The sequence below is a fragment of the Homo sapiens genome, chromosome 1, assembly GCF_000001405.40.
Source record: "Homo sapiens chromosome 1, GRCh38.p14 Primary Assembly".
In the NCBI taxonomy this organism is placed as follows: domain Eukaryota; kingdom Metazoa; phylum Chordata; class Mammalia; order Primates; family Hominidae; genus Homo; species Homo sapiens.
In genome coordinates, this window is record NC_000001.11 from 41,103,740 (window position 1) to 41,131,325 (window position 27,586).

Genomic DNA, 27,586 nt, shown 5'->3' on the forward strand with positions numbered 1-27,586 from the left:
ATCTGGAGTTTGTGAGGGCAAGAGAGAGAGCGAATGGGCAGAGTCAAGGGGCAGCTTAAGGATTCTGGAAGAGAGATATGGAATGGGAGTTTTTTTTTCTGGTCCCTTGGGCAGACCTAATTACAATCAGTGGGAGAACCCAGATTCTCTGCTTCATAATCTACTCCACCCATCTCACTTCCCCATTTTCCTATTTCTATTTGTGTACCACAAGCATATAACCAAGAAAAAATCAGTTATGAGAGTACTGGTTCACTGCAGAAGCCTCATCTCATATTTATTTTTCCTGACCAAAATAGAGCACTTTCCTGGCTCTGCGTGCAGTTCCCTTTTCTTGGGAGGCCTGGGGATCTTGATTCAGATGCAACTAACGCACAGTGGGCATCTACTACGTGCTACATGGTGCTATGCATTTGCCACCAATTTTCTCATTTCAATCATTCAATCAACTGGGGAGGCAGACACTTGTCTATAACCTCCAGTGAACCTAGCACTGCTAACATGAGCCTGTAACTGTGGATAGATAGGTGAATAAAGGACGGATTTACCAGATGTGATGAGATCACAAGGCCAAAGCTGAAATAAGGACAGAGACTATATGCATACGTGTGTTTATGGAAGGAGGAAATGGTATATAAATAGGGGCAAGGTCTGGACACAATATATCTGAGAGGGTTAAAGGGAAAATAGTACCTGAGTGGCTATTCTCATTAAAGGCACCAAAAAGTTAGCTTTGATTTGCAATCTTTCAACACAAATAAATGATAAATGTTTGTGGTGACAGATATCCCAATGACCCTGATTTGATCATTAAGCATTGTATGTATGTATCAAAATATCACAGGTACCCCATCAAAATGTACAATTATTACATATCAATAAACAAAAAAGAATTTGCTTCACTTATTAACCAACATGCTCATATCTTTTCTGACAGTGAACTACTGAACTAGTGGCTAGTGAACACACCTTCTCAGGAGACAAGAGGGGTATATTAGCTGCCAAACCTGTAGAGACCACACCCTCCTGGTTGTTGTGGCTTATTAGGAAAAAAAGCTGGGTGGAAGGGCAGGGGGTGGTCCAGGTGTAGAGGTGTACATGTGTTTAGTAACTGAGAGGTGAGTGAATATGGGCTCTGGAAACAAATCTTAGTGCCCTGTGCCACTCTTACTTTTGGCCATTAGGTTTCCAAAATTAAAAAACCGTAACATTAAACAGCCTTTTTTTTTTTTTGAGATGGAGTTTCACTCTTGTTGCCCAGGCTGGAGTGCAGTGGCACAATCTCGGCTCACTGTAACCTCTGCCTCCTGGGTTCAAGTGATTCTCCTGCTTCAATATCCGAAGTAGCTGGGATTACAGATGCCCACCATCATGCTCAGCTAATTTTTTTTTTTTTTGTATTTTTGTAGAGACAGGGTTTCACCATGTTGGCCAAGCTGGTCTTGAACTCTGGTCCTCAGGTGATCCACCTGTCTCAGCCTCCCAAAATGCTGGGATTACAGGCATGAGCCACTGTGCCTGGCCTTAAATAGCTTTTAATAATCTGTCAAATTTGTCATAGATGCGAGTAGTATTCTTATTTTTTGTAATTAAGTGAATATCTGAATAACGGCTTTAGATGAGGATCAACAGAAATGGAATCAGAAAATATAGTATAACCTATTTCAGTTAACAGATATTACTGAATAAATGGCATGTTCCAAGTGGTGGGGACATAAAGAGGCAGTTAATAAATTCATTCCATTTAACATGGACTCCAGGTAGAAAACAATCCCAACTTCCTAGACATGACAGAAAGAAGAATTTTAGCTCCTCATAAATACTTACACTGAAAACTTGGCATTATTTTACATGGTACAGGGCTTGTTTGTTAAATAAATAAAATAGTCACAATAGGTGATACACATTAAGAACTTGCATTTTGTCTTCTTTATTCAAAGAATATGCCCCCCACCCCATCTTATCCTCACCACCATGTCACTGCTTCAATTTTCTCTCTCACCTGGAATATTATAACAGCTTGTTAACTGGCATCCCTGACTCCAGCATCTGAATCCGTCCTTTCATTGTTGCCAAAATGGTCCTTCTAAAACACAAATCTGAGCTGTAACTCTACTACTTAAAAGCCCATTTGATAGTTTTTTTTTTTTTTTGAGACAGAGTCTTGCTCTGTCACTCAGGCTGGAGTGCAGTGGCACGATCTTGGCTCACTGCAACCTCTACCTCCTGGGTTCAAGCGATTCTCCTGCCTCAGCCTCCCTAGTAGCTGTGATTACAGGTGCACGCCACCATGCCCAGCTAATTTTTGTATTTTTAGTAGAGACAGGGTTTCACCAACTTGGCCAGGCTGGTCTCGAACTCCTGACCTCAGGTGATCTGCCCGCCTCGGCCTCCCAAAGTGCTGGGATTACAAGTGTGAGCCACCACGCCCAGCCAATAGTTCTTGATTTAGTTTGGATATTTTGTCCCTGCCCAAATCTCACGTCAAACTGTAAGCCCCAGCGTTGGAGGTGGGGCCTGGTGGGAGGTGTTTGGGTCATGGGGGTGGATTCCTCAGGGTGTGGTTCTGTCCTTGAGATAGTGAGTGAGTTCTGGTTGTTGTAAAAGTGTGACACCCCCCTCCCCACACTGCCATCTGCCTGCTCCAGCTTTGCCTTCTACCATGAGTAAAAGCTCCCTGAGGCCTCCCCAGAAGCCAAGCTATGCAGCACCGTGTTTATACAGCCTGCAGAACTCTAAGCCAATTAAACCTTTTTTCTTTATAAATTACCCAGTCTTAGGTATTTCTTTATGGCAATGCAAGAACAGCCTAATACAGTTCTCGATGCTCATAAGGTAAAAATCCAGATCCTTAAGATGGTCTATGAGGGAAGCATTCTGCGCCTTCCTCTGCTGTGCCTTATCTCTTTCTGCTCCTCTACTTACACCCTACAATCTAGCCATTTTCTTTTTTCCTTTTTCTTTTTTTGAGATGGAGTCTCACTCTGTCACCCAGGCTGGAGTGCAGTGGCGCAATCTCAGCTCACTGCAACCTCTGCCTCCCAGGTTCAAGCGATTCTCCTGCCTCAGCCTCCCGAGTAGCAGGGACTGCAGACGTCAGCCACCACACCTGGCTAATTTTTGTATTTTTAGTAGAGACGGGGTTTCACCATATTGGTCAGGCTGGTCGCTAACTCTTCACCTTGTGATCCACCCGCCTCTGCCTCCCAAAGTGCTGGGATTATAGGCGTGAGCCACCACGCCCGGCCTTAACTATTTTTTAATTCCTTGACCATACTTTTTTTTTTTTTTAACTTCTGGCCCTACACTAATCTGTTTCCACTGCTAGAGAGAATTTTTTCTCTACCTTCCCATTCTTAAGGTTTCAGCTTAGACATCACTTCATTTGGAAGCCTTCGTTTGGAAGTCTTGTCCTTTATTCATCCATTTACCCAATAGCTATAGAGCAGCCCATGTTAGACATGCTAGGCTCAAGGGAGGTTATAGAGATCTCCAACCTCCAGTCCCCTCAATCTAGGTTGGGGTCCCTCTGTACTTTATTCCTCCAAAGTCGTACTTTATTGGTCTATATGTTCACAAAACTGTAAACACTAACGGCAGAATCTCCATCAACTGAGCCAATGACTAGTACTTAATCATGACTTGATAGTTAGAATTTGAATAAATGGATGGATGAGGAAGATCAGTCTATCAGGTGACCTCATGTTGAGACCTACAAGTTAGCCTTAAGTTGTATTATTCTTGCCTCTATCCTAGTTTTTCTCTCTGTAGTCTAGGATTACATTTTTTTTTCTTTCTTGAGACAGAGTCTTGCTCTGTCACCAGGCTGGAGTGCAGTGGCATGATCTTGGCTCACTGCAACCTCTGCCTCCTGGGTTCAAGCGATTCTCCTGCCTCAGCCTCCCGAGTAGCTGGGACTACAGGTGGGCACCACCACACCCAGCTAATTTTTGTATTTTCAGTAGAGACGGGGTTTCACCATGTTGGCCAGGATGGTCTCGATCTCTTGACCTTGTGATCTGCCTGCCTCGGCCTCCCAAAGTGCTGGGATTACAGGCGTGAGCCACTGCGCCTAGCCTAGGATTACAATTTAATTAACTCTTTCTGCCCTAGAATCCCAAAGTGATTGTGGCATAATTTCGTATGTGGTTTTAAAACAAAAAGAGAACATTCTTTAAGTATGGAAAGCACTTTCCAAATAAAAAAAGGAAAAGATATTCTGAAAGTTTTGTTTCTAAGCATCAAATTATTACCCTCCAGACCAGTGTAAGAATCCTGTACGTGAGCCACGATGTTGAGTCCGATTTTGAAATTTTTGCTTTGTACAAAGAAACCTGTCGCAGGTAGAAAGGGTAGACTGAGAGGGTAAAGGAGGCCTGGTTGACCATGTACTCTAACAGGTATGCTAAAGTGCAGCACCTCTACTAGATTCCCATATTTGGATTAGCATGTAGACAGCAGACAGATCCAGTTTAACAACATATGAAGTCACAAGAGACGAATGTACTAATCCAGAATAGCAATATATTAATTTATAATAAAAATATAAAGTAGCTTGGGTCTCATGTTGTCTCGCTGCTATCAATCCACATAGGGAGCTAAGGTATAATCTGAAACTGGCTTTCCCAGCCTGAAATCAGAGCAAGGGGAAGTCAAGTGGATTATCATGATGGCTAAAGGTATGATTAGCATCATAGTCATGCCATATGTACTGAATTCTTCATTTTGCTTTTTACATTTAAAAACTAAAGCATGTATCTGTTTCAGTTTTATTTTAAGTCACAAAAAATAAGCTAAAAGTAAAAAGCTTCTGCCTTTTATAACCAAGTACTCTGGATTAGTTGGACGCTTGGTAGTTACTACCCATCAGAGTTGGCTTGGCCACAGGAGTTTAGCAACTAAAAGGGATACTACTTGGCTTAGAAAAGGAGAAAAAGAGAGGCAGCAGACAGCTGGCACACAGGAATTACTTCAAAAAGGCAGAGATAGGTGATAGGTGAGCTGATGAACCTAAAATCATGTAGGAGACAGAGGCACAGGAGTCACCTGCTACCTATTCCCAAGATCATTAAACTAGATAGTATTACAGAGGTAAAAGTGCCCACTAGGGATCATGTAGTTCAGCCTCTCACATGTAAGAATGACTTGCTCAATGACGTAACCAAGTTTGTGGCCTGGCTGGGACTAGAACCCAGTTCAGTGCTCTGATACTACACCATACTTTTTCTTTCCTATTTTTTATCAGGATTTGGAAGCCAAAATCCAGGGTCTCAAATGAAGCTTTGAAGAAGGGCCAAAGGAGAATGGGAAGAGTATCAGGGAGACAAGTGTGAAAACAATATGCCTCAGTGATATATTGGTCCTGACAGGTGGCTCTACTAAAAGATCTCCATGGTTTCACTCTCTAGACTCAGATATCAACAGAGCCAAGTCATTTAATTATCTGAGCTTCAGTTTTCTCATAAATAAAATGTATCTGAAAATAATTATACCTTGTTCAGAGTTACCAGAAGATAAAATGAAAATCTGTGTGTAAAGGAACATTAAATAAATATTGGTTTTTCCTATTTGCCATGAGCAGGAAACATTATCTTACTCTGAATTTTTAACATTTGCATACTAATGACCAGAAGGTAGGAAAGAAGGAGGAAATAGTATGATTAGAAAGAGAACAGGCTTACACACAGAGAACAACTTGTTTTGTGAAATGAATTGAGTAACCACATTTTTTCCACATTGCATCACTTGCTCCTTAGCCAGGACATGGAGACTGCTGGCCAAACTTCTGCTGTTATAGAAAGCGCTTTTGTAGGACTTACTGAGGGTGTAAAGTGTGGGAGGAGACAGTTGTTAGAGGGAACAACCTAACTGCTGGAATGATGACTGAAGCACCTGGTCTGGAAATGTCACCTGGAAGGTCTCTCTCTACCTTCTGAGCCTGGTCCTCTGACCATCTTCTGTTGAAAATCTAAGGACTCCAGAGACACAGAAGAGAGGAAAACAGTCAGCAAACTTCTCTGGAAGCATCAGCCACAGAGTGAGTCATATTTCTTATCAGCAAGGTTTGCAGCCAAAAAGGAATGCATATCCAGCAACCTGGACACAAAGACCGTCAGCTCTGTTGGCTCTGGAGAACTGCCTAACTGCTCTAGATTTATCAGTCAAAAGAACAGTGAATTCCCTAGGCATGAAAATGAGAAAATCAACCTATTAACTGAATAAAGCCCAGAGCACCAAGGCTTATCCTGTTTTAGCCTCAAGTAACAAAAATGACTCTGCTATCAGTTCCAAGGTACCTCGCTTCTTGCTGCTTCCACAGAGCTATTACCTCACAGTGCTTCCTCACAATGCATTTACCATACTGACCCCAGGGTACTTGTTTCTTGCATCACAGAGAGGAGTGGCACTTTCCTGAGCCAAGAAGTGTGTTTCCCTTTCATTCTGCCCGAGGATCTCTCCACCTCAGTGCAACTATCCTAATCCAAGCAACCTCATTTCTTCCTTGTCCACAATTACCACTGTACAACTCATTCTCCACAGACCAGCTCAAGTAATTTTTTTTAGATAATAGCTTTATTGACATAAGTTACATACCACAAATTCACCCTACATTTGTGTTTTCTAAGATATTCAGAGTTGTGCAAACATCATCCCTAATTTTAAAACATTTTCATTATCCTCAAAAGAAACCCCAATAGCAGTCATTTCCCATTTTCCCTCCCCTAGTCACTGGCAACCACGAATCTACTTCTGTCTATGTGTATTTGCCAATTCTGGACATTTCATATAAATGTAATCATCAATGATTATCTTTTGTGACTGGCTTTTCATTTAGCATAATGTTATTAAGATGCATCTATACTGTAGCATGTATTAGTACTTTATTCCTTTTTTATTGCCAATTAGTATTTTGTCCTCTAGCTATACCACATTTTATTTATCCATTTATCAGATGATGAACATTTGGGTTGTTTTATCTTTTTGGCTACTATAAATAATGCTGCCATGAATGTTCATTATGTGTTTTTGTGTGAACATATGTTTCTATTCTTTTGGGTATATATCTATGAGTGGACTTACTGGGTCACATGGTAACTCTTTAACATTTTGAGTAACATCCAAACTGTTTTCTAAAGTGGTTGCAGCATTTTCCAATCTCACCAGCAATGATCGAGAATTCCAGTTTTTCCACATTCTCAGCAACATTTGTTATTATCTGTCTTTTGCTTATAGCTGTATCCATGGGTGTGAAGTTGTATTTCACTGTGGCTTTGATTTGCATTTCCCTAATGATGAATGATATTGAGCATCTTAAGTGCTTATTGGCTATCTGTGTATGTTATCTGGAGAAATATCTATCCAAATCCTTTCCTTATTTTTAAATTGGGTTGTCTTTTTTATTATTGAGTTATAGGTGTTCTTTTATATTCTGGATACAAGTCCAAGTGATTTTTTTAAAGTAAATCAAATCTTGTCACTTCCCTGGCTTAGTACCTTCTAATGGTTCCCTAATATGTTTAGAATAAAATCCAATATTCCCACTCTGGTTTACAAGGTCCTACATGATTTGGCACCTGTCCACTTCTCCAACATCATCTTGCACTGCTTGTTTTTGTTTGAGACAGAGTCTCGCTCTGTCGCCCAGGCTGCAGTGTATTGGTGCGATCTTGGCTCACTGCAACCTCTGCCTCTCAGGTTCAAGCAATTCTCCTCCCTCAGCCTCCTGAGTAGCTGAGATTACAGGCGTGTTACCACCACGCCTTGCTAATTTTTGTATTTTTAGTAGAGATGGGGCTTCACCATGTTGGCCAGGGTGGTCTCAAACTCCTGAGCTCAGGTGATCTGCCTGCCTTGGCCTCCCAAAGTGCTGGGATTACAGATGTGAGCCACTGCACCCAGCCCCTTGTACCACTTTCTTGCTCAGGCAATGCATTCTAGTCACAGCAGTCTGCTTTCTGCCCTTGGAACACAGCAAACTCACTCATGTCTCAGCATCATTATATTAGTTGTTCCTTCTGCCTGCCTGGAAGTCTCTTTCCTTGGATGACTCCTTCTCATCATTCAGGTCTCAATTCAAGTATCAACTTTTCAGACAAATTTCTTGAAAAGAAATTCTTCCTAAACAAGTTTCCCCTCTACAAAGAACTTTTGTGAATGATAAATATGTTCATTATTTTCATTGTGGTAATGGTTTCATGGATGTATATAGATGTCAAAACTTTTCAAATTGTACACTTTAAATACATGCCATTTATCTTATGTCAATTATATTTCAATAGGGCTATTAAACAAAAAAAACCCTTTACAATTATACCTTCACTGTCACTATCCCATCATACTTTATTTCCTTAGGAGAAATTATTTTATTTCTGTCTATAAAAATTATCTATATGAAATTATCTTATTTCTTGATTTAAATGTTTACCATCTGTTTCACCCAACTAGAATGGAGGTGTCATGAGCACAGCAATGTTGTTCATTTTTGTCACTTGTGTACTCTCAGCTTGGCTTACAATTAGGTGCTCAATAAATATTTGGCTAATTGAATGAATGAATTCAACAGAGGTTTAGAAAAAGATCCTCAGACAATAAGAAGGGTGACTTTTCATTCCCTCAGATTCACCAGTACTTTTTAGACTTAAGAGGATGAGATTATTATTATTATCTTTACTAAAAGCAGCTACCTCAAAATCTATTCTGGACCTTCTCCACTGTCATCATCTGTATCATTTTATTGTTCATTTAGTCTGTGACACTATTCTAGTACTTTATATATACTCTCTCATAGGTAGTGGTTAGTTTTATAATAATGATAATATAGCATATTGTAATAATCATATAGTATAATATGATATAGTTATAATATAGAATATAACTATAATAGCAGCAGTAATACAATAAAAATTTGTTTAGTACTTGCTAGTCATCAACTTTTCATGTAAGCATTTTACCCATGTAATCTCATTTATTCCTCACAATAACTTCATAAAGTAGGTTTTCTACTTCATGATGTGGAATTTGTAGTTTAAGGAGGTAAATTAACTGCCCAAAGCTACACAGCTGATAAAAGGCAAAGATGGACCTCAAACCCATGTCTATCTTACTTCAAAGCTTGTTCTTTTTCCATCCTGCTACAGTGCTTCTCAACTATTTTTACAATACAGTGTTACTCCAGCTTTTATCCAAAGCCCCTAAGGTCAGAGGAAGGTGTGTGCCTTGGGAATACTAGTACTCAAACTTTGTAATGGGTTAGGGACAAAAGTAAGAGAGATGAAAAGCTGGTTGCCTGAGAATAAACCAGGATATGTAGAGCAAAGAATTATTACTTTATCCCAAATGCCATATGCGGTTTCATTTGACACTTAATACTTAACTGTTTCTAATTGCTCCCTGGTAGACCTGGGTTTTTACCTAAGCTGCTGGCCCTTGCTCCTCCCCTGCATACTAGTGAAGTATACTGGTGAAGATATGATCATGACAGCCCTGGGTAGTCTCCCTTATCATCTGGGTCCTGATTTCAAGAGCACGTAGATGGGCCTTTACCTTTGGTGCCAGGAGGCTGCAGGTTGTCTCCAGTCAAGGAACACCAGCCCACAGGGAAGATGTCTCGGGAGTCGAAGCGGCACCAGTAGTCAAAGGCCCCTCGCCACCCATCAAAAGTGACAAGCACCTCTGAGCCCCGAACCTCCCCAATAGTGGCTGGGCAAATGAAATGAGGGTTCTTCCTGTCCACAGCTTCTAGCTTCATTCCCATTTTGAAGAAGTTGTGGGAAGGCGATGGTGGCTCCTAGATGAGAAACAGAAACATACACACCTAGACACAAAGAGAGGCCATTATGCCAATAGACTACTATCTAATTTGGATGATTAAAAAGTGACTGCTACATGAGACTTATAATGGATATATAGCCTTTCTTTTAAATTAATTTTAAATTCAATATTTCAATATTTAAAGTATTACTTTATTAATCCTAACATTTTGACAACTTTGCTTCAGATTTTTTAAAAAGGAAATAAAAGGTTGCAGATAAAGTTGAATCTCCCTTTCTGCCCTTCCCATATTCCATTCCCCCTCTACCTACCACGGAGGTAACAGCTACCCATGCATGTTTTATATTTTACTATATACATACATACCCATTTGCCTGCTTTTAAATTTTATATAAATGGTATTATACTGTATATATCATTGTACAATTTGCTTTTTGTTTAGCAGTATGTTTTTGAAATCTGCCCATGTTGATAAATTTAGCTCTGATTCATTTTAACTTGTAATAGTATTTCATTGTATATATATATCGAAATTTATTCATTCTCCTTTGGACACTTAAAGATCTTTCCAATTGTTTACTATTTTAAAAGAGTTTTAACCACCATCCTTGCACTTCTTTGTATATGTGTAGGAAGGTTTCTTTAGGTTATACATCTAGGTGTAGAATTCCTGAATTCCTGGGTTATAGGGTAGATATATACATCTTCTGCTTTATCAAATATTTTTAACTTGTACTCCAAAGTGGTTGTAACATTGTATACTTTCACCGGAAGTGTAGAGAGTTCCTGGGTGCTAATTTGTAATGCAGTTACATAGATCAAGTTTCAAAAAATGTGTTGTACATTCTATTCTGTTCCCTTAATCTTACTATCTGATCCTGTACCAATAACATAGTCTTATTAAATGGATATCTGATAGGAAAAGTCCCCCTACTTTGTCATTCTTCAATATTGTTTTTGCTATTCATTCTCTGTCTTTCATATAAATTTCAATCAGTTTTTTCGAGTTCCATATATAAACCCTATTAGGATTTTGACTGGAATTACAACGAATTTATAGATAAATTTGGGTGGAAATAACCTTTATTATATACTATCAAGCCTTCCCATCCATAAACATGATAGTCTTTTCCACTTGTTAAGATTTCCTTTCTCTCTCTCTCTCTCTCTCTCTTTCTTTTTTGGAGAAAGGGTCTGGTTCTGTCACCCAGGCTGGAGTGCAGTGGTGTAATCCTGGCTCACTGCAACCTCTGCCTCCCAGGGTCAAGTGATCCTCCTACCTCAGCCTCCCAAGTAGCTGGGATTACAGGCACACACCACCACACTCTGCTAATTTTTGTTATTTTTTGTAGAGATGGGGTTTTACCATGTTGCCCAAGCTGGTCTCGAACTCCTGACCTCAAGTGATCCGTATGCCTTGGCCTCCCAAAAAGTGCTGGGATTACAGGCATGAGCCACCGTGCCTGGCCAAGATTTCTTTAATGCAGATTTCTTCAACATACATTTAAAAATTTCCTCTATAAATATCTCATGCTTTTTTACTAACTTTTTTTCTAGGCAAATTACAATTCCATTGCTATCATAAGTGGCATTTAAAAAATTTATTTTCAAATCATTTAAATTTAACTGTTGTTAAATGCAAATAAAGTGATTTTTAAAAATTGACCAACTTATTCGATACTGATTATTAGCTTATGCTGATTGACATACCAATTCTTGTGTGCTTGATTTATCAATTGTTAAGAGATAAGTCTTCAAATATTCCCTAGTGATTTGTGGATTTTCCAATTTTACCATGTAATTTTGTCAAATTTTGCTCTATTATACTTTGAGATTACATTTTCTAGGAGCATGTACATTTATGACTGTTTTATCTTCCTGGTGAACTGTACTTTATGATAATTAGATAGTGACCTCTTTAATGCATTTTATTTATTTATTTCTAGAATCAGGGTCTTGCTCTGTCACCCAGGCTGGTGTGCAATGGTGCAAACACAGCTCCCTGCAGCCTCAATCTCCTGGGCTTAAGCGATTCTTCCACCTCGGTCTCCCAAGTAGCTGCGACTACAGGCACGTGCCACCACTCTTAGCTAATTTTTAAATTTTTTCTAGAGACGGGGTCTTGCTACAGGTGGCCCAGGCTGGTCTCAAATTCCTGGACTCAGTGCTTTTAGCATCATTTAGACTTTTAGTATCAAAGTCTTGCGTGATTTCCGTATAGTTTATGCCAGCTTTATTTTGATAAAAGTTCATCTGGCACATCTTTCATATTCTTTTATTTTCTTTTTTAAAAATTAAAAAATTTGTTTTCCATCATTCCCACCCTCTGTAGATTTCTTTTACTTTCAACATTTTTGTCATTATGTTTAGTGTCTCTTATACATAGCATATAGCTAGATTTTTAAAAATCTGATCTATGTATGATTATAATGAGCTTAAGCTCATTTCTTGTGATAATTGATGTATCTGAATTTATTACAACTACCTTATTGTCTATGTTTCTATTTAATTTGAATTTCCAAAGTTCTTTTTTCTCCTTTTCAATCAACTAAGTTTTCTTCTATTTTCCCCCTCCACTGATCCGGAAGTTAAACATTCTACTTGGAGTCTTTTGGTAGATCCCTTTACTGCACAGCTGGCATAACAAAGTCTAAAACTCATCTTTATTTCTAGTCCCAAAGAATACAAGAACTACTCCTGAGTTACATAAGTGCTAGGTAATTCAGAAGCAGGATGCTCTTAGTGTTGAGACTTAACTAGCAGCATAGGCAAACCTAATTTAATACCCTTTACAGTAACTTTTACCCCATTAGAAAATTCAACTGATAGACTCACTGCCTCACTTCTTGAGAAGCAATAACAAATACAGGTTTTGGATCCCTGTTCTGCCGCTTACTAGCCACGTGATCTTGAGCAAGCTCCTAATTCAAAAGTATTTGTTTCCTTAACTATTAAATGGAAATAATAATTCTTAGTTCATAAAGTTAGCTGTGGGTATTACATGAGATAGTATATATAAAGTCCCAAACATATCGTAGGCAATAAAAAAAGTCTCCTTCTTTTCTCTGTTTAGAACATGAACTCTACAGAACTCCAAGATCTATAATAAGAATAGCGCCTTTAGATTTGTATTACATTTAACATATTCTACTAATAATACATTTTAACTTCTTAACAAGCCCGACAGGTAAACAGAGATTACTGGAAGCTGGGACCATATAATCTAATCTATGGGACCTTATAGTCTAATATATTCCTCTGGGGATAATTGCTGCTTCATAAGCTACTAAAAAATCCTTCTGAACTAATTTCTGAGAAGGCATCTTCAGGCCATAAGTAAATGTGGACATCAAAGTCTCAATATTTGACCTTAAGCAGCCTGGAGCTGGTGATATCTGAGGGATAGCCTACCTTGTGGAAAATCCTGATGGGAGCCATCTCTGCTCCATTTAGCGTCTTCAAAAGGAACATGGGCCAAGAAGACGCATTCAGCCGAAATCCTGCAGCAAGCATAATGGGCAACAGATTAAAAGTATGTTTCAAAAATGAATGGTGATGTGGGTGGCAAGCCACCCAGGTGCCGAGGCAAGAGACCGAGGGCACGAGCTCTTCCAGTATAATAAAATATATAAAATAAGAATAGTTATACTAGATATAGATCATAGATATGATTATATATGAATATCATTCATCATTAGTTTGTAGCAATTATTCTTTATTCCAATATTATAATAATCCTCGCTCTACAATCATAACCTAGGAAAAACCAGGCCATACAGAGATAGGAGCTGAGGGGACATAGTGAGAAGTGACCAGAAGACAAGAGTGCGAGCCTTCTGTTATGCCCGGACAGGGCCACCAGAGGGCTCCTTGGTCTAGCGGTAACACCAGCGTCTGGGAAGACGCCCGTTGCCAAGCGGACCGTGGTCTAGTGGTAGCGTCAGTGTCAAGGAAAAACACCCATTACTTAGAGACCGGGAAAGGGAGTCACCCTTTCCCCGGGGAAGTTTAGAGAAGACTCTACTCCTCCACCTCTTGCGGAGGGCCTGACGTCAGTCAGGCCCGCCTGCAGTTATCCAAAGGTCTAACTGTCTCCCTGTGATGCTGTGCTTCAGTGGTCATGTTCCTAGTTCGCCTTCATGTTCCATCCTGTACACCTGGCTCTGCCTTTTAGTTAGCAGTAGCAAATTAGTGAAAGTACTAAAAGTCTCTGATTAGTAGAAATAATGGCGTAAGCTGTCTCTCTCTCTCTCCTCTCTCTCTCTCTGCCTCGGCTGCCAGGCAGGGAAGGGCCCCCTGTCCAGTGGACACGTGACCCACGTGACCTTACCTATCATGGGAGACGGCTCACACTCCTTACCCTGCCCCTTTGTCTTGTATCCAATAAATATCAGCGCAGCCTGGCATTCAGGGCCACTACTGGTCTCTGTGTCTTGGTGGCAGTGGTCCCCCTGGGCCCAGCTGTCTTTTATCTCTTCGTCTTGTGTCTTTATTTCTACACTCTCTTGTCTCCGCACACAGGGAGAAAACCCACCAACCCTGTGGGGCTGGACTCTACATTATGATATCAAGTTCAGCCTTTAGAATCCAGCTACTCCTATGCTGTGATAGTTACAGAATCACAGACTGTTAAGAAAGGACTTAAGGGTTAAAAAGGAGAAACACCTCATTAGACAGATGAAGAAAATGAGGCACATAAGAGAGAATGTAACTTGTCCAAGGTAATGCTGTAAAGTAAATAGTGGGACAGAGTCTCCAAACCAAGTTTCCTAAGACAAGTACTACAGAACACATAACGTAATGCCTAGAAAACTTTCTAGGCATTTGAAAAATCCAAAAAAGATGTGATAGGATTAACGAATACTTAGAGATGATCTGGACAGTAGAGTATGAAAGGGGATCTAATAATCTCTTAAGAAGAAACCAAACATGTCAACCGATAAACCCAATATATAAGTAAATCATTTTGGTTCCTCTCAATGTAAACTAACTCACTACTTCTCTTATCACTTTCTGTCTTGCACACATACACACACCAAGTACAAAATACTTTCTGAAGTTCATTGTTTACTTAAACAACTAAGGACCAAGGAATGACATTGGAAAGGATTGTCCTATCCAAAAATCTTCATTTTGCAAAAGAGTAAAAAGAAGCCTAGAGAGGTTAACTGTCCATTATCACCTATCAATGAATTGTAAAAATAAGATCATTATTACAGTTAGGTCTTCCAATTAGAGCCCCAAGTGCTTCTTTCAATTTGCTTCAACTCTGCATCCTGAGATAACAAAACCTAATGTTTTTTGAGCATTTCCCAAACTACCTCAGCCTTCCCACTCCAAACAAAAGAACAGATAAGCTGCACCCAAGCTGCAAAGCTGGAAATAACAGCAGCAGCAGTATCTGATGTTATTGAGCACTTTACTGTTCACTATGCCAATCACTTTCTATTGACTATCTAATCCTCAAGACAGCCCTAGGAGGTAGATATTATCTTCATTTTATAGATGAGGAAACAGGTACAATTTATTTGAAGTTAAATAAATTGCTTAAGATTTCAAAGTGAGCAAACGAAAAGACAGGATTAAAATTCAGGCAATCTGACTCCTGAGCCCACACTTTAAAACTGGCAATGTATGGGTAAAATGAAAAGGGAAGATTCAGCTTTTGGAAAAAAGTATCAATTAACAACTGTAATTAAAGTTAGGAGGAGGAGGTGACAAGGAAATGCAAATAAAAAAAGAGTTACCACTCCATACTATTTAAACTTTTAGTCCCAAAGCTGGCTAGGCTAAGCCAGCCTTCCCAAGGTAAAGAGATTTCTTGGGACAGCCCATCCATATCAACAGCAATGTGGACTTTCCTATCACTCAATCTAAAACTGCCATCACTTCCTTTTTGCTTGCCCAGCTTTTTTTTCCCTTTAGGGCAAAAAAAAAACAAAAAAAAAAAAACCCCACCGTAACTCCACATGATTTGGTGGGCACGTCAACCACATATGTGGTCCTTACCTACCTGGCCTTGGGGTAAAACACAATGCTGTTTAAGAGCATCAAATTCCCCTAGACCAAGAGTGTATATGTGTCTATGTCCCATGTTAGGCCAGTTGTTTTTTGACATGAGATTGACGTTGGAGAAGAACATCTTTCTTTGTCTGAGAACATGCCCATAAGGATGTTTGCAGTTTGGGCACTGCTACATGGAGAACAGACCTGAGAATAAAGCCAAAGTACAGCATGGGATGGAGACACATAATAGTGTTTAAAACCCAGTACTCAGACACTCAACACCAGATAAATCCTTGGACTTCTTGGTTATATGAGTTAATAATTCCTGCCTCCTCCTTTTTTCCCTCTCTAATCTGGTTTGAGCTGGGTTTTTAACTGCTACTCTTCTTTTGACAATGGTTTAAAAAAATTAAATCCCTCCAGAAATTCAAGCGTGGTGTTTATGTGGGAAAACAACTCTCCTTAGGTCAGGGAAGGGCTGAAGCAAGCCAAACCCAGAGCAGCTTTGCCATGAGTGGTTTGGTACACCTATGGATAAGGTAAAGCAAGGCACTACTGTTTTAGAGAAGTGGTCTATACACCTTGGTATAGGGAGGCCTGCACAATTAGAAAATTCAGGTTTAATGCCTATAGTTATCAATGACTAGAGTGCCTAGCCATGTAATTCCCAATTCCATTTTTGAGGTAGGGGTTACTGGGGGGTTTCTATCTCATCTGAAGCTTAAGGAGCTAAAAAATCCTCTCAGCTTTGGAAATCATTACAATATTATCATAATAGTTAATATATATTGAATGCTTACCATGTATTAAACATTTTATATGCCATTTCTTACTCAATATTTGAAATAACATGGGCAGGCACTATTATTATCCCTACTCTACAGATGATAAAAAATGAAAACTCAGAGAAGCAGCTTGTCTAGGGTCATGCTAGTAAATGCCGGAGACAGATTTCAATATATGGTGGTTGGATACCAAACTTTGTGGTTCTTTACTATGTTTCACTACCAGCAGGATTCTTCAAGAGTACAGGGGCAAAGCAGAAATATTTTGAACCCAAGAAATTGCTAAGGTATCTTATTCCTCAATCCGCTAGGTGATGTGGGACTCTATCCCTTCAAATTCAAGTATATCCATAATTTACCTCAATATTCTTGGGCAATCATAGATAGTAGATAATTTTAACATTGAAAGGGACCTCAGAGGCCATGAAGTACAAAGATCTTACATTGCAGATGATGAAACTGAAGTCCAGAGAGGCTAAGAAACTTGTTCATGGTCACACAAGCCAATCTTACACTGTCAGGCTGGAACCCCAGGACTTCTTATTTGGTTCTCTTTTATTACACTATGTTTATTACACTATCTCTTTTATTACACTATGTTGCCTCCAAAAGTTAACATTTATTGTACACATATCATGAGCCAGCTCCTTGTGCTAAGCATTTGCAGTGGATCACTACTACTATTCTGAATCAGATACTAGAGGAGTAGCAGTTTCTGGTGCCAGACTGCCTGAATTTAAATCCAGCTTTGCCACTTACCAGGTACATAACTTTTGGAAAATTACAAAACCTCTCTCTAGCTTCAGTTTCCTCAACAACAGCATGGGATAAGAATCAATGGGTTGTTCTAAAGATTAAATAGGCTAATACATGCAAAGGACTTAAAACACTGCCTGGCATACAGGCAGGAGTTAGATAAACATTGGCTATTATTTTTGTAACTATAGATGAAAAAACTGAGGCTTAGAGAAATTAAGTAAAATATCCAAAGTTAGTAAGTTAGTAAATAGCAGAGCCAGGATTTGAACCCAACTACTCCGTCTCCAGAGCTTTCATAACTAATCATCACATTAATATCGTCAAATATTTTATCACTCAGTCCTACCACACTGTCTCTAGGTAAGAAGGGTTGGAGTCATAAACTTGTGAAAGAGAGAAAAGAAGGAAGATGAAAACAGTAATTTGAGGCTCTATTCAAATTAGGCAACGACCTAGGCTGTCTATAAGGAAAAGGACAGGTGGGTAAGAGGAAATCCTAATCTCTAAATGTAGAGCACCTCAGTGCTCAGTCATTGCTTCTGTCTTCTTCTTGGTCCCCACTTTCTTCCTGTTAAATGATGACTGTCAATTTATATATCTAGCCAAAACCTCTGCTCAGGGTTTCATGTTCATATATCCAACTACCTCAGTCTATAACTCTACTTGGATGTCTAAGAAAACGTAAAATGAATAAGTTTAAGACAGTACTCTTGATTCTACTATTCCCTCCAAACTTGTTCTTTCCTCCAGTTATCCCATCTCAGTTTAATAGGTGGCACCCCTTATTAAACCCAGGTGCTCAGACCTAAAAGACTAGAAGTCATCCTTGATTCTTCCCTTTCTATCACCCACCAAACCCAATTAATCAGCAAGTCTTGATGGCTTTCCCACTTAATATATGCTAGATCGACCCACATTTCACCATCTCTACTGCTATATTACCCTAATTTAAGCCAGAGTCAAACTTTGCCTAGACAACTCCAACAGCCTTCTAACTGGACCTCAGCCCTCTACTTTTGCAGCCAGAATAATATGGTTATGTTTTTAAAAATATAAATCAGGTCACATTACCTTATGCTCAAATTTCACAACACAAAACAGATCTAAACTCTTTATTATTCATGTTTACAAGGCTTACATGATCTGGACCTTGCTTACTCCTCATTACTCATCTCTTATCACTCCCTTGTACCCCTATTCATTGGTCTTTCTGTTCTCAAATATACCAAGCTGTTTCCCTCTGCCTCAAACACCTTTTAATCAACTCTTTACAGTTAGTTATTTGCTGAGACATCACTTCCTCAGAAAGGTGTTCCTTGACTACTTTACCCAAAATAGACTCCTAAATCTATCCTGCTTCCTTCTTATTTATTCCTAGCCCCTATCACCATCTGAATTTTCTTTTTAAAAAGTTTAATGTGTATGTCTTCTCCAACTAGAATACAAAATCCTTGATAGTTTTATTGAATTAAGGAAAAAACCCTCCATTTATTAAATGGGTGCCAAGAATTGATGAACGCTTTATTATGTTATTCCACTTAATCCACAAAAACAACATGGGGAAGAATTTATTAATCATCTTGCAGGTAAGGGCACTGAAACTCAACGTTACAAGTCAAGGTAAAGCAACTTACCAGTAGTCACACAACTAAGGTAGTGAGTGGCTAAGTTAATATTACAAAGTCAGATCTCTTTTAATTCCAAACACAGGCTGCAAGTGCTCTGTGTTTACCAAGGATTCATTTTTTAAAACTTCATAAAGAACCACTTCTAAAGTGCTTCTAGGTGCTCCCAAGACTATGGGACCACTGGATAAGCTAGGGTCCATCTCTTTAAACTGGCCAGCTGATGAAACTGGATTTAAGAGTGGAGCTGCAGGCCGGGCACAGTGGCTTTCACCTGTAATCGCAGCATTTTGGGAGACTGACGCAGGAGGATCACTTCAGCCCAAAATTTAAAGACCAGCCTGGGCAACACAGTGAGACCCTGTTTCTACAAAAAATACAAAAAATTAGCTGGGTGTGGTGGTGTGTGCTTGTAGTCCCAGCTACGTGGAAGGCTCATGCAGGATGACTGCTGTAGCCTGGGGATGTCGAGGCTGCAGTGAGCTATGATTGTGACGCTGCATTCCAGCCTGAGTGACACAGCGAGACTCTGCCTCAATACATACATACATACATGTGGAGCAGCAGGACTATAATCTAATCATAGTCCATGCCCTCTGGTGGCAGGTAACAGAAGAGCATTCACACCAGGAATTGATCAGTGACAGAAACATACAAAGGATTCCTTTGAAGTTACTGTATATACTAAAGCATGTGACCAAATTTGCTGGGTAAGCAGTTTACACTGAGATCGTGACTCACTTGACTAGGGGCCTCATTAAAGGCTAGCTTCTACTCCAGCTCAGTGACTCTCAAACTTGGACTGGAATCCCCTAGGGAACATTAAAGAATACATCAGATCCACTCCCAGAAATCCCTATTTAACTGATCTGAAGTTAAGGCCTAGACCCTGAAAATTTTAAGAGCTCCCTAGGTGATTTTAACAGGTAGCCAAGTTTGAGAACTATGCTCTAGACAGCCCTCTTTAGAAGAAACAATCACAGTATTAAGTAGAAGAATCAGTCAGTAATAACAGGGAGCTGTGAGGAGAAGAGTGGCAGCTTTGAGATAACTGAGGAGAATCATTCTACTCTACTACATGTTTTATCCTTGGAGGACTCCACTGCAAAAGAGTAATATCCCTTATGAGAACAGAACACACATACGTATACATATACACCATGCAAGATTTTAATGGAAAAGGATGCTCTTCCAGAGCAATGTTTTCCAAATATAGACCAGTTGTGTCAGTATCTCAGGAGAGCCATTTTGCCATGCAGAATCCCAAGCCCCATTACCTAGAGCTTCTGATTCAGCAACTCTAGAAAGAAGTCCAGAGAAGGCCTGGGGAACATGGACACACAAACATATGTACAATTATATATAAATAATTTTATTTTTTTAATTTTATTTTGAAAAGTTATAAACCTAGAGAAAATAGCAAAAACTATATAATGAACAATTATGTACCCTTCAACTAGATTCAACAACTATTACCATTTTCCCACATCTGCTTTTCATCTACATATATTAATGCTTCCACCCCTGAACTATATGAAAGTTGGAGATGTTACGACACTTCACCCCTAAATATATCAGTATATTTGAAAAAAGACATTCCCCTACAAAATTGCAGTATTATCACACTCAGGAAATTTAATTAAAAATATTCTCATTTGTCCCTAAAATGTTCTTTAAAACTGTTGATTTTTAAATACAGGATCCAATCAAGAATCACATACTGCAATTGGTTGTCATGTTTCTTCAGTCTCCTTTAATGTAGAATTCATGTATAATAGTCCTGTTGCCTTTTGTTTGCTTTGTATGACACTGACATTTTTGAAGAGTCTGGATTGTTTTACAGAATGTCCCACAGTTTGGACTTCTTCTGATCGTTTCCTCATAATTACATTCATGCTGAAGAGCTTATTTATTTATTTATTTATTTATTTATTTATTTTGAGACAGGGTCTTTCTCTGTTGCCCAGGCTGGTGTGCAGTGGTGCAATCATGGCTCACAGCAGCCTTCAACTCCTGGGCTCAGGTGATCCCCCTGAGCAACTAGGACTAAGGGTGTGCACCACCACACCTGGCCAATTTTTCTATTTTTTGTAGTGATGGGGGACTTGCTATATTGCCCAGGCTGGTCTTGAATTTCTGGCCTCAAGTAATCATTCCGCCTCAGCCTCCCAAAGTGCTGGCTCTGATTACAGGCATAAACTGCTAGGCCTGGCCTGCTAAAGAGATTTGATAAAAAATATTATACAGGTGATGTGGAGTATTTCTCATTGCAATACTGCAGGAGGCACATAATGTCAGTTTGTCTAATTACTGAAGATACAAAATTTGATCACATGTTAAGAGGTGATTGACAGTGTTCTTCACTGTAATTTCCCTTTGTAATTTACAGGCAATCAGTGGAGAGAAACTTTGAGACTGTGAACATCCTATTCCTCAGTATGTTTTTTTACCTAATAGTTTAAGCATTTATTGGTTACTCTTGCCTGACTCAATTATTAAAATAGTTGCAAAAAAGTAATTTTCTCTCATTCCTTCTATATATTTTTTTTAGACAGGGTTTTGCTTTGTCCCCCAGGCTGAAATTCAGTGGCGAGATCTCCGCTCACTGCAGCCTAGACTTCCCGGGCTCAGCTGATTCTTCCTTTTCAGCCTCCTGAGTAGCCGGCACTACAGGTGTGTGTCATCATGCCCAGATAATTTTTGTATTTTTTTGTAGGGACAGAGTTTCACCATGTTGCCCAGGCTGGTCTCAAACTCCTGGGCTCATGTGATCCACTCATCTCGGCCTCCCAAAGTGCTGGGATTACAGGTGTGAGCCACTTTGCCCAGCCTCATTCCTTCTATATTTATTGGCTGGCATTCTGTAAAGGAGATTTCTTCCCTCCAACTTTAATTTTTTTTTTTTGAGAAGAGGTTTTACTCTGTCACCCAGGCTGGAGTGCAATAGCATGATCATGGCTCACTGCAGCCTCGACCTCCCAGACTCAAGGGGATACTCCCACCTCAGTCTCCCAAGTAGCTGGGACCACAGATGCGTGACACCATGTCCAGCTCATTTTTAATGTTTTCCAGTAGAGATGGGGGTCTTGCCATGTTGCCCAGGCTGGTCTCGAACTCCTAGGCTTAAGGGATCCTCCTGCCTCAGCTTCCCAAAGTGTTGGGATTACAGGTGTATCAGGTGATTTTTAGAAACCAAAATCAAGGTGTCGTCATTGCTACTGAGATGTAATTGCTTCTAGGCCCTTTCAATGAACAGTGCTTGGAAAATACATATGTATATACACACACACATACAAATCATATGTTACATATATGTATTACTTGAATAGGATGCATACATATAAATATATTTTAAAGGCCAGAGTAGATACAGATATTCTCCAATTCAAATCCAATACTACAGGGTTCTTCCTCATCTTTTTCCATATTAGAATCTTATTTATTCATTTGCTCTATTTTCAATATCTGCAAATTAGTCTCAGATAACCATGCCAAAACCACAAACATTATTAAGAAGTCAAAATTTCTTTGCAGTCCATTTTTTCCTTAGAATATGCCCCATATTAAAGGTATACTGTGAAGGTTCTATGTTAAAATTTTATTTGAATTAATAGTTTTTTCAATGTGGTTATTACATCCATTTGATTCAGTTTTGTTTGTTTCTAATCAATTTTAGGGTTTGCTTTGTTCATCTTTTTTAGTTTAATTTTATTTATTAAGTAAAATACTTAGTTCAAAAGTCAAAAGAATATTAAAAGGTATTTTCAAAAGCCTCACTCTTATCCCAGTACTTTCTACCTTATTCCAAGACATGCCTAATGGGTGATCTTTTCATTATTTTCTGGCTTGACATTCCTGTGTTTCTTTTTACAAAAATAAATTTAAAATGCATACTTTCATATGTTATATATGTGTGCATATGTGTATACATACATATTTCCCCTTCTCTTTCCCAAAAGTTAGCGTATTATATATACTTTCTGCAACTTTCTTTTTTCACATTAATGATATATCTTAGAAATCACTCCATATTAGTTTACACAGATCTTCCTCATTCTATTTTATGGTTGAATGGTACTTCATTGTGTGAATGTACTATATAACATTCAATCAATCTCTTAATGTTGCAAAAAAATAACCATGTGTATATTGCTTTATTTTTGTGGCAGTACATCTTTAAAATCAAATTCCTGAAGTGGGATCCCTGGGTCAACTAATAAATGCATATGTGGTTTTTCTCAGATACTGATGAATTGTATGCCCTCCCTCTCTGGTGTGAAATGTACCATTCTGCATGTCCCCAGCAAAAAAAAATGAGAACGCTTATTTCCCCACAGCCTTGCTGTCTCCTCAAGCTTTGGAATTTTTGTCAATCTGGTAAGAAAGAATATCTTACTGTGGTTTTAATCTGCACTTATTTTATTATGAGTGGTGTGAATTTTCATATGTCTGAGGACCATTTGTATATCTTCTGTCAACTGTTCATGCCTTAAGATCATTTTTCTATAGGTTTTAGTCTTAAAAAATTTTTCTATTTTTCTATTTATGAGTGTTCTTTATGAATTAGGGAGAGTTATCTGTGCCTTATGTTGCAAATATTTTCTCCCATTTATCATTTGTCTTTTAGCTTTGCTTGGAGTGTTTTTTTCCCCTAAAAATGTTTTAAAAAGTCAAATTTGTCGGTCTATCTAGATTTTGAATCATATTTAAAAAGGCTTTCCCCACCCCAAGTTTATAAAGGAATTTGTGTTTTCCTAGTACTTATATAGTCATTTTTTTACATTTTGATCTCTAATCCACGTGCAGTTTATTCTGACATACGCTGTGATATATGGATTCAATTGTATCTTTTCCTAATGGCTATTAACTTATCCCAATGTCATTTATGAAAAAGTCAATTTTATCCAATTTAATATGCCAACCACTATGGACTGAATCTCCATCCCCCAAATTAATATGTTGAAGTCCTAATCCTCAATATAACTGTACCCAGAGACAGGGTTGTTAGGAGATGATGAAGGTTAAGTGAAGTCACGGGGTAGAGCCCTTATTTGATAGAACTATGGTCTTATAAGAAGAGGAAGAGCTCTCTTCCTCCCTCCACTTCCCTCCCTTCCTTCTTCCTTCTCCTGTGAGAACACAGTGAGAAGGCAGCCATAAGATGGCTGTCTGCAAGCAAGAAGAGGACCCTCAGCAGAAATCAACCCCTGCCAGAACCTTGATCTTGGACTTTCCAGTCTTTAGAACTGTGAGAAAAAAAAATCCTGTTGTTTAAACCAGACAGTCTGTGGTATTTCACTGACAGCCTCAGCAGACTACCACACTACCTTTATCATATAGCAAATTTTCATATACAGTCAGATCTATCTCTGGATTTGCTATTTATTTTACACTGCTCAGTCTGCCTATTCATGTGCCAGTTCCATATAATTTTAATTTCAGAGGCTTTAAAGTATGTTTTAATAGCTAATGGGATTACTCTCTGCACATTGCTCTTCTTTTTTAGGAGTTCCTAGCTATTTTTGAATTATTATATGTACACTACAAATTTTATTATATTTACCTACAAATTTTCCTCATTGCTTTGCAGAGATCCATTTTTTCCATGTTATCATTTTCTTTCTGCTTTAAGGACTTCACTTAACCTTTCTTGTAGTACTGATATGCTTGTGATTAATTCTCTAAGCTTTTATATTTCTGCAAATGTCTTCATTTTTATTTTTGAAAGACATTCTTGCTTGGTATAGAATTCTAGCTTAACAACTTGTTTTCCTTTTAGAACTTAAAAATGCTGCTCCACTGTATTCTGGCTTGCACTGTTTCTGACGAGAAGTTGCTGTCATTCTTTGTTCTTCTATATATCATGTGCTTGTTTTTCTCTGGCTGCTCTTAAGACTTTTCTCTTTATCGTGGGTTTTCAGCAATTTGATGATGATGTGCCTTGTGTGGTTTATTTCATATTTCTCCTGCTTGGGGTTCATTGAGCTTCTCTGATTTGTGAAGTTATAGTTTTCATAGTATTCAAAAATTTTTCAAGCATTATTTTTCTAATAATTTCTTATGTGCTCCTTATCTCTCCTTCAGGACTCCAGTTATATATGTTATAGGCTACGTGAAGTTGTTCCATGGCTCACTGATGCTTTCTTTTTCAGTTCTTTTTCTCTCTGTGTTTCATTTGGATAGTTTATACTGCTGTTTTTAAGTCTGCTCATCTTCCTCCTGAAGCAATTCCAACAGTAATATGTTGTGGATCCATTCAGTTTATTCTTCACTTGAGATATTATCTTGTATGTTCTACCTCTAAAGTTCAATTTGGTTCTTTTAAATCTAAATCCTACATTTCTCTACTCATGACGCTCATGATTTCCTCTATCTTCTTGAACATATGCAATATAAACAACTGCTTTAATGTCCTTGTCTATTAATTCTATAATCTGTGTTATTTCTGGATTCTAATTATAATGGGTGAGTTTTTCTCTTGCTTGTTTGCATGCCTGGTAATTTTTTTTGTGGTAAAATATATATCAAATTTACAGTTTTAATCATTTTAAAGTGTACAGTTCTGTGACATTAAGTCCATTCACATTATTAGGCAACTATCACCACCATCCATCTCCAGGACATTTTCATTTTCCCCAACTGAAACTCTGTACCTATTATCAACCTCTTCACCTCCTCCTCCCTCAGCTCCTGGCAACTACTATTGTACTTTCTGTCTCTATACATTTGACTTCTCTAGATGTCTCATCTAAGTGAAATCATACAATATTTGTGCTTTTATAACTGGCTTATTTCACTTAGCATGTCGTCGAGGTTCACCTATGTTGTAGCATGTGTTATAATTTCCTTCCTCTTTAAGGCTGAATAATATTCCCATTGCATCTCTCTCTCTTCCCCAGCCCCGCTCTCTTTCTGTGTGTGCGTATGTGTGACATTTTCTTTATCCATTCTTCCATCAACAGACACTTGAGTGGCTTCTACCTTTTGGCTATTGTGACTAATGCTGCTAAACACGGGTATTCAAATATCTGCCCAAGTCCCTGCTTTCAGTCCTTCTGAGTATATACCCAGAAATGGAACTGCTGAATCACAGAATTCTACTTTTACTTTTTAAGAAAATAGTTGGGGGTCTCACTATGTTGCCCAGGCTGGCCTCGAACTCCTGGGTTCAAGCGATCCTCCTGCCTCAGCCTTCCAGGTAGTTGGGACTACAGGTGCATGATATTTTTAACTTTCTGAGAAACTCCCATTTTACATTCCTACCAGCAACAGACATTCCCATTTCTCCACATCCTCATCAACACTTGTTATTTTCTGTTTTTTTCCTAATACCCATCCTAATGAATGTGAAGTGTCATCTCAATGCAGTTTTAATTTGTAGTTCCCTAATGATTAGTGATCATGAACATATTTTCATGTGCTAATTGGCCATTTGTACATCTTCTTTGGAAAAAAATATATTCAAGTCCTTTGCTAATTTTTGAAATGGGTTTTTTGTTGTTGAGGTTTAGGAGTTTTTATTTTTAATTTTTTAAATATCATAAACCTTGAATAACACAGTTGCAGGAGTTTTTAAAAATATTTTTTGAATATTAACCCCTTATCAGATATATGTTTTGTGAATTTTTTTTCTAATTCTGTGGGCTGCCTTTTCACTATGTCAATAGTGTCCTTTGATGCACAAAAGTTTTGAATTTTGATGTAGTCTAATTTATGTATGTTTTTCTTTTGTTGCCTGTGCTTTTGGTGTCATATTCAAATCTAATGTCATAAAGCTTTTCTTCTAAGAGTTTTATGGATTTAGACCCCACATTCAGGCCTTTGATACATTTTGAGTTAATTTTTGTATATAGTGTAAGGTTAAGTTCCAACTTCATTTTTTTGCATGTGTATATGTCATTTTTCTAGCATTACTGAATTAGATATGTAAGTATAAAAAATTAGCTTCACAATTCACACACCATAAAATTTACTCTTTTAAGTATATAGTTCAATGGGTTTTAGTACTCTGTGAACATACAAAGTGTGCAAACATCACTTTATCTAATTTTAAAATATTTTCATCACTCCTCCAAAAAGAGGCCCAATACCTATTAGCAGCCACTCCCCATCCCCACTTCAAGCTGGACTCTGGAAACCACAAATCTACTTTCTGCTTACATGGATTTGGCTATTTTTTCCCATTGTGTGAGCTGTCTTTTCACTTCTTGATGATGAAGCTTTTTAGTTTTGATGAAGTTCAAGTTATCTATTTTTTCTTTTGTTTTTTTGTGCTTTTGGTGCTGTATTATCTAATCCAAGGTCATGAAGATTTCCTCCTGTTTTCTTCGAAGAGTTTTCTCATTTTAGCTCTTACATTTAGGTCCATGATCCACTTGAAATTAATTTTTGTATATGGCATAGAGGTAGGGTCCAACTTCATTTTTTTCTATGTGAATATCCATTTGTTCCTCACCAGCTGTTGAAAATCACATTGAACTGTCTTGGCATCCTTGTGAAAAATCAATTGACCATAAATTGGTAGGTTCATTTCTGTACTCTTAATTCTAATTCATGGATCTATATGTCTGTCTTCATGCCAGAACCACAATGTCTTCAGTACTATAGCTTTGTAGTAAGTTTTGAAATCAGAAAATGTGA

At 38.4% G+C, this 27,586-nt stretch overlaps 1 protein-coding gene across 42 annotated transcripts in view; it reads right to left on the reverse strand.

Moving 5' to 3' along the window:
* SCMH1 (Scm polycomb group protein homolog 1) overlaps nt 1–27,586 on the reverse strand; it is a 215,105-nt gene that overhangs the window by 76,538 nt on the left and 110,981 nt on the right. For 39 of the 42 annotated variants that reach the window (NR_135092.2, XR_946584.3, XR_007096354.1 and 36 more), the window contains 2 exons: nt 13,183–13,271; nt 9,544–9,787 (listed from right to left, as the gene is read on the reverse strand). The exons of 1 other annotated variant lie outside the window; for it this stretch is intronic. Coding sequence is in view for 34 of the 41 variants with exons in the window: in NM_001394301.1 (NP_001381230.1) it covers nt 9,544–9,787; nt 13,183–13,271 (333 nt within the window). In the remaining 7 variants the exon portion in view is untranslated. Of the gene's footprint in view, nt 1–9,543; nt 9,815–13,182; nt 13,272–27,586 lie in introns of all 42 variants that reach the window. 2 more of the 42 variants (NM_001394309.1, NM_001350668.2) reach the window with 1 other exon arrangement.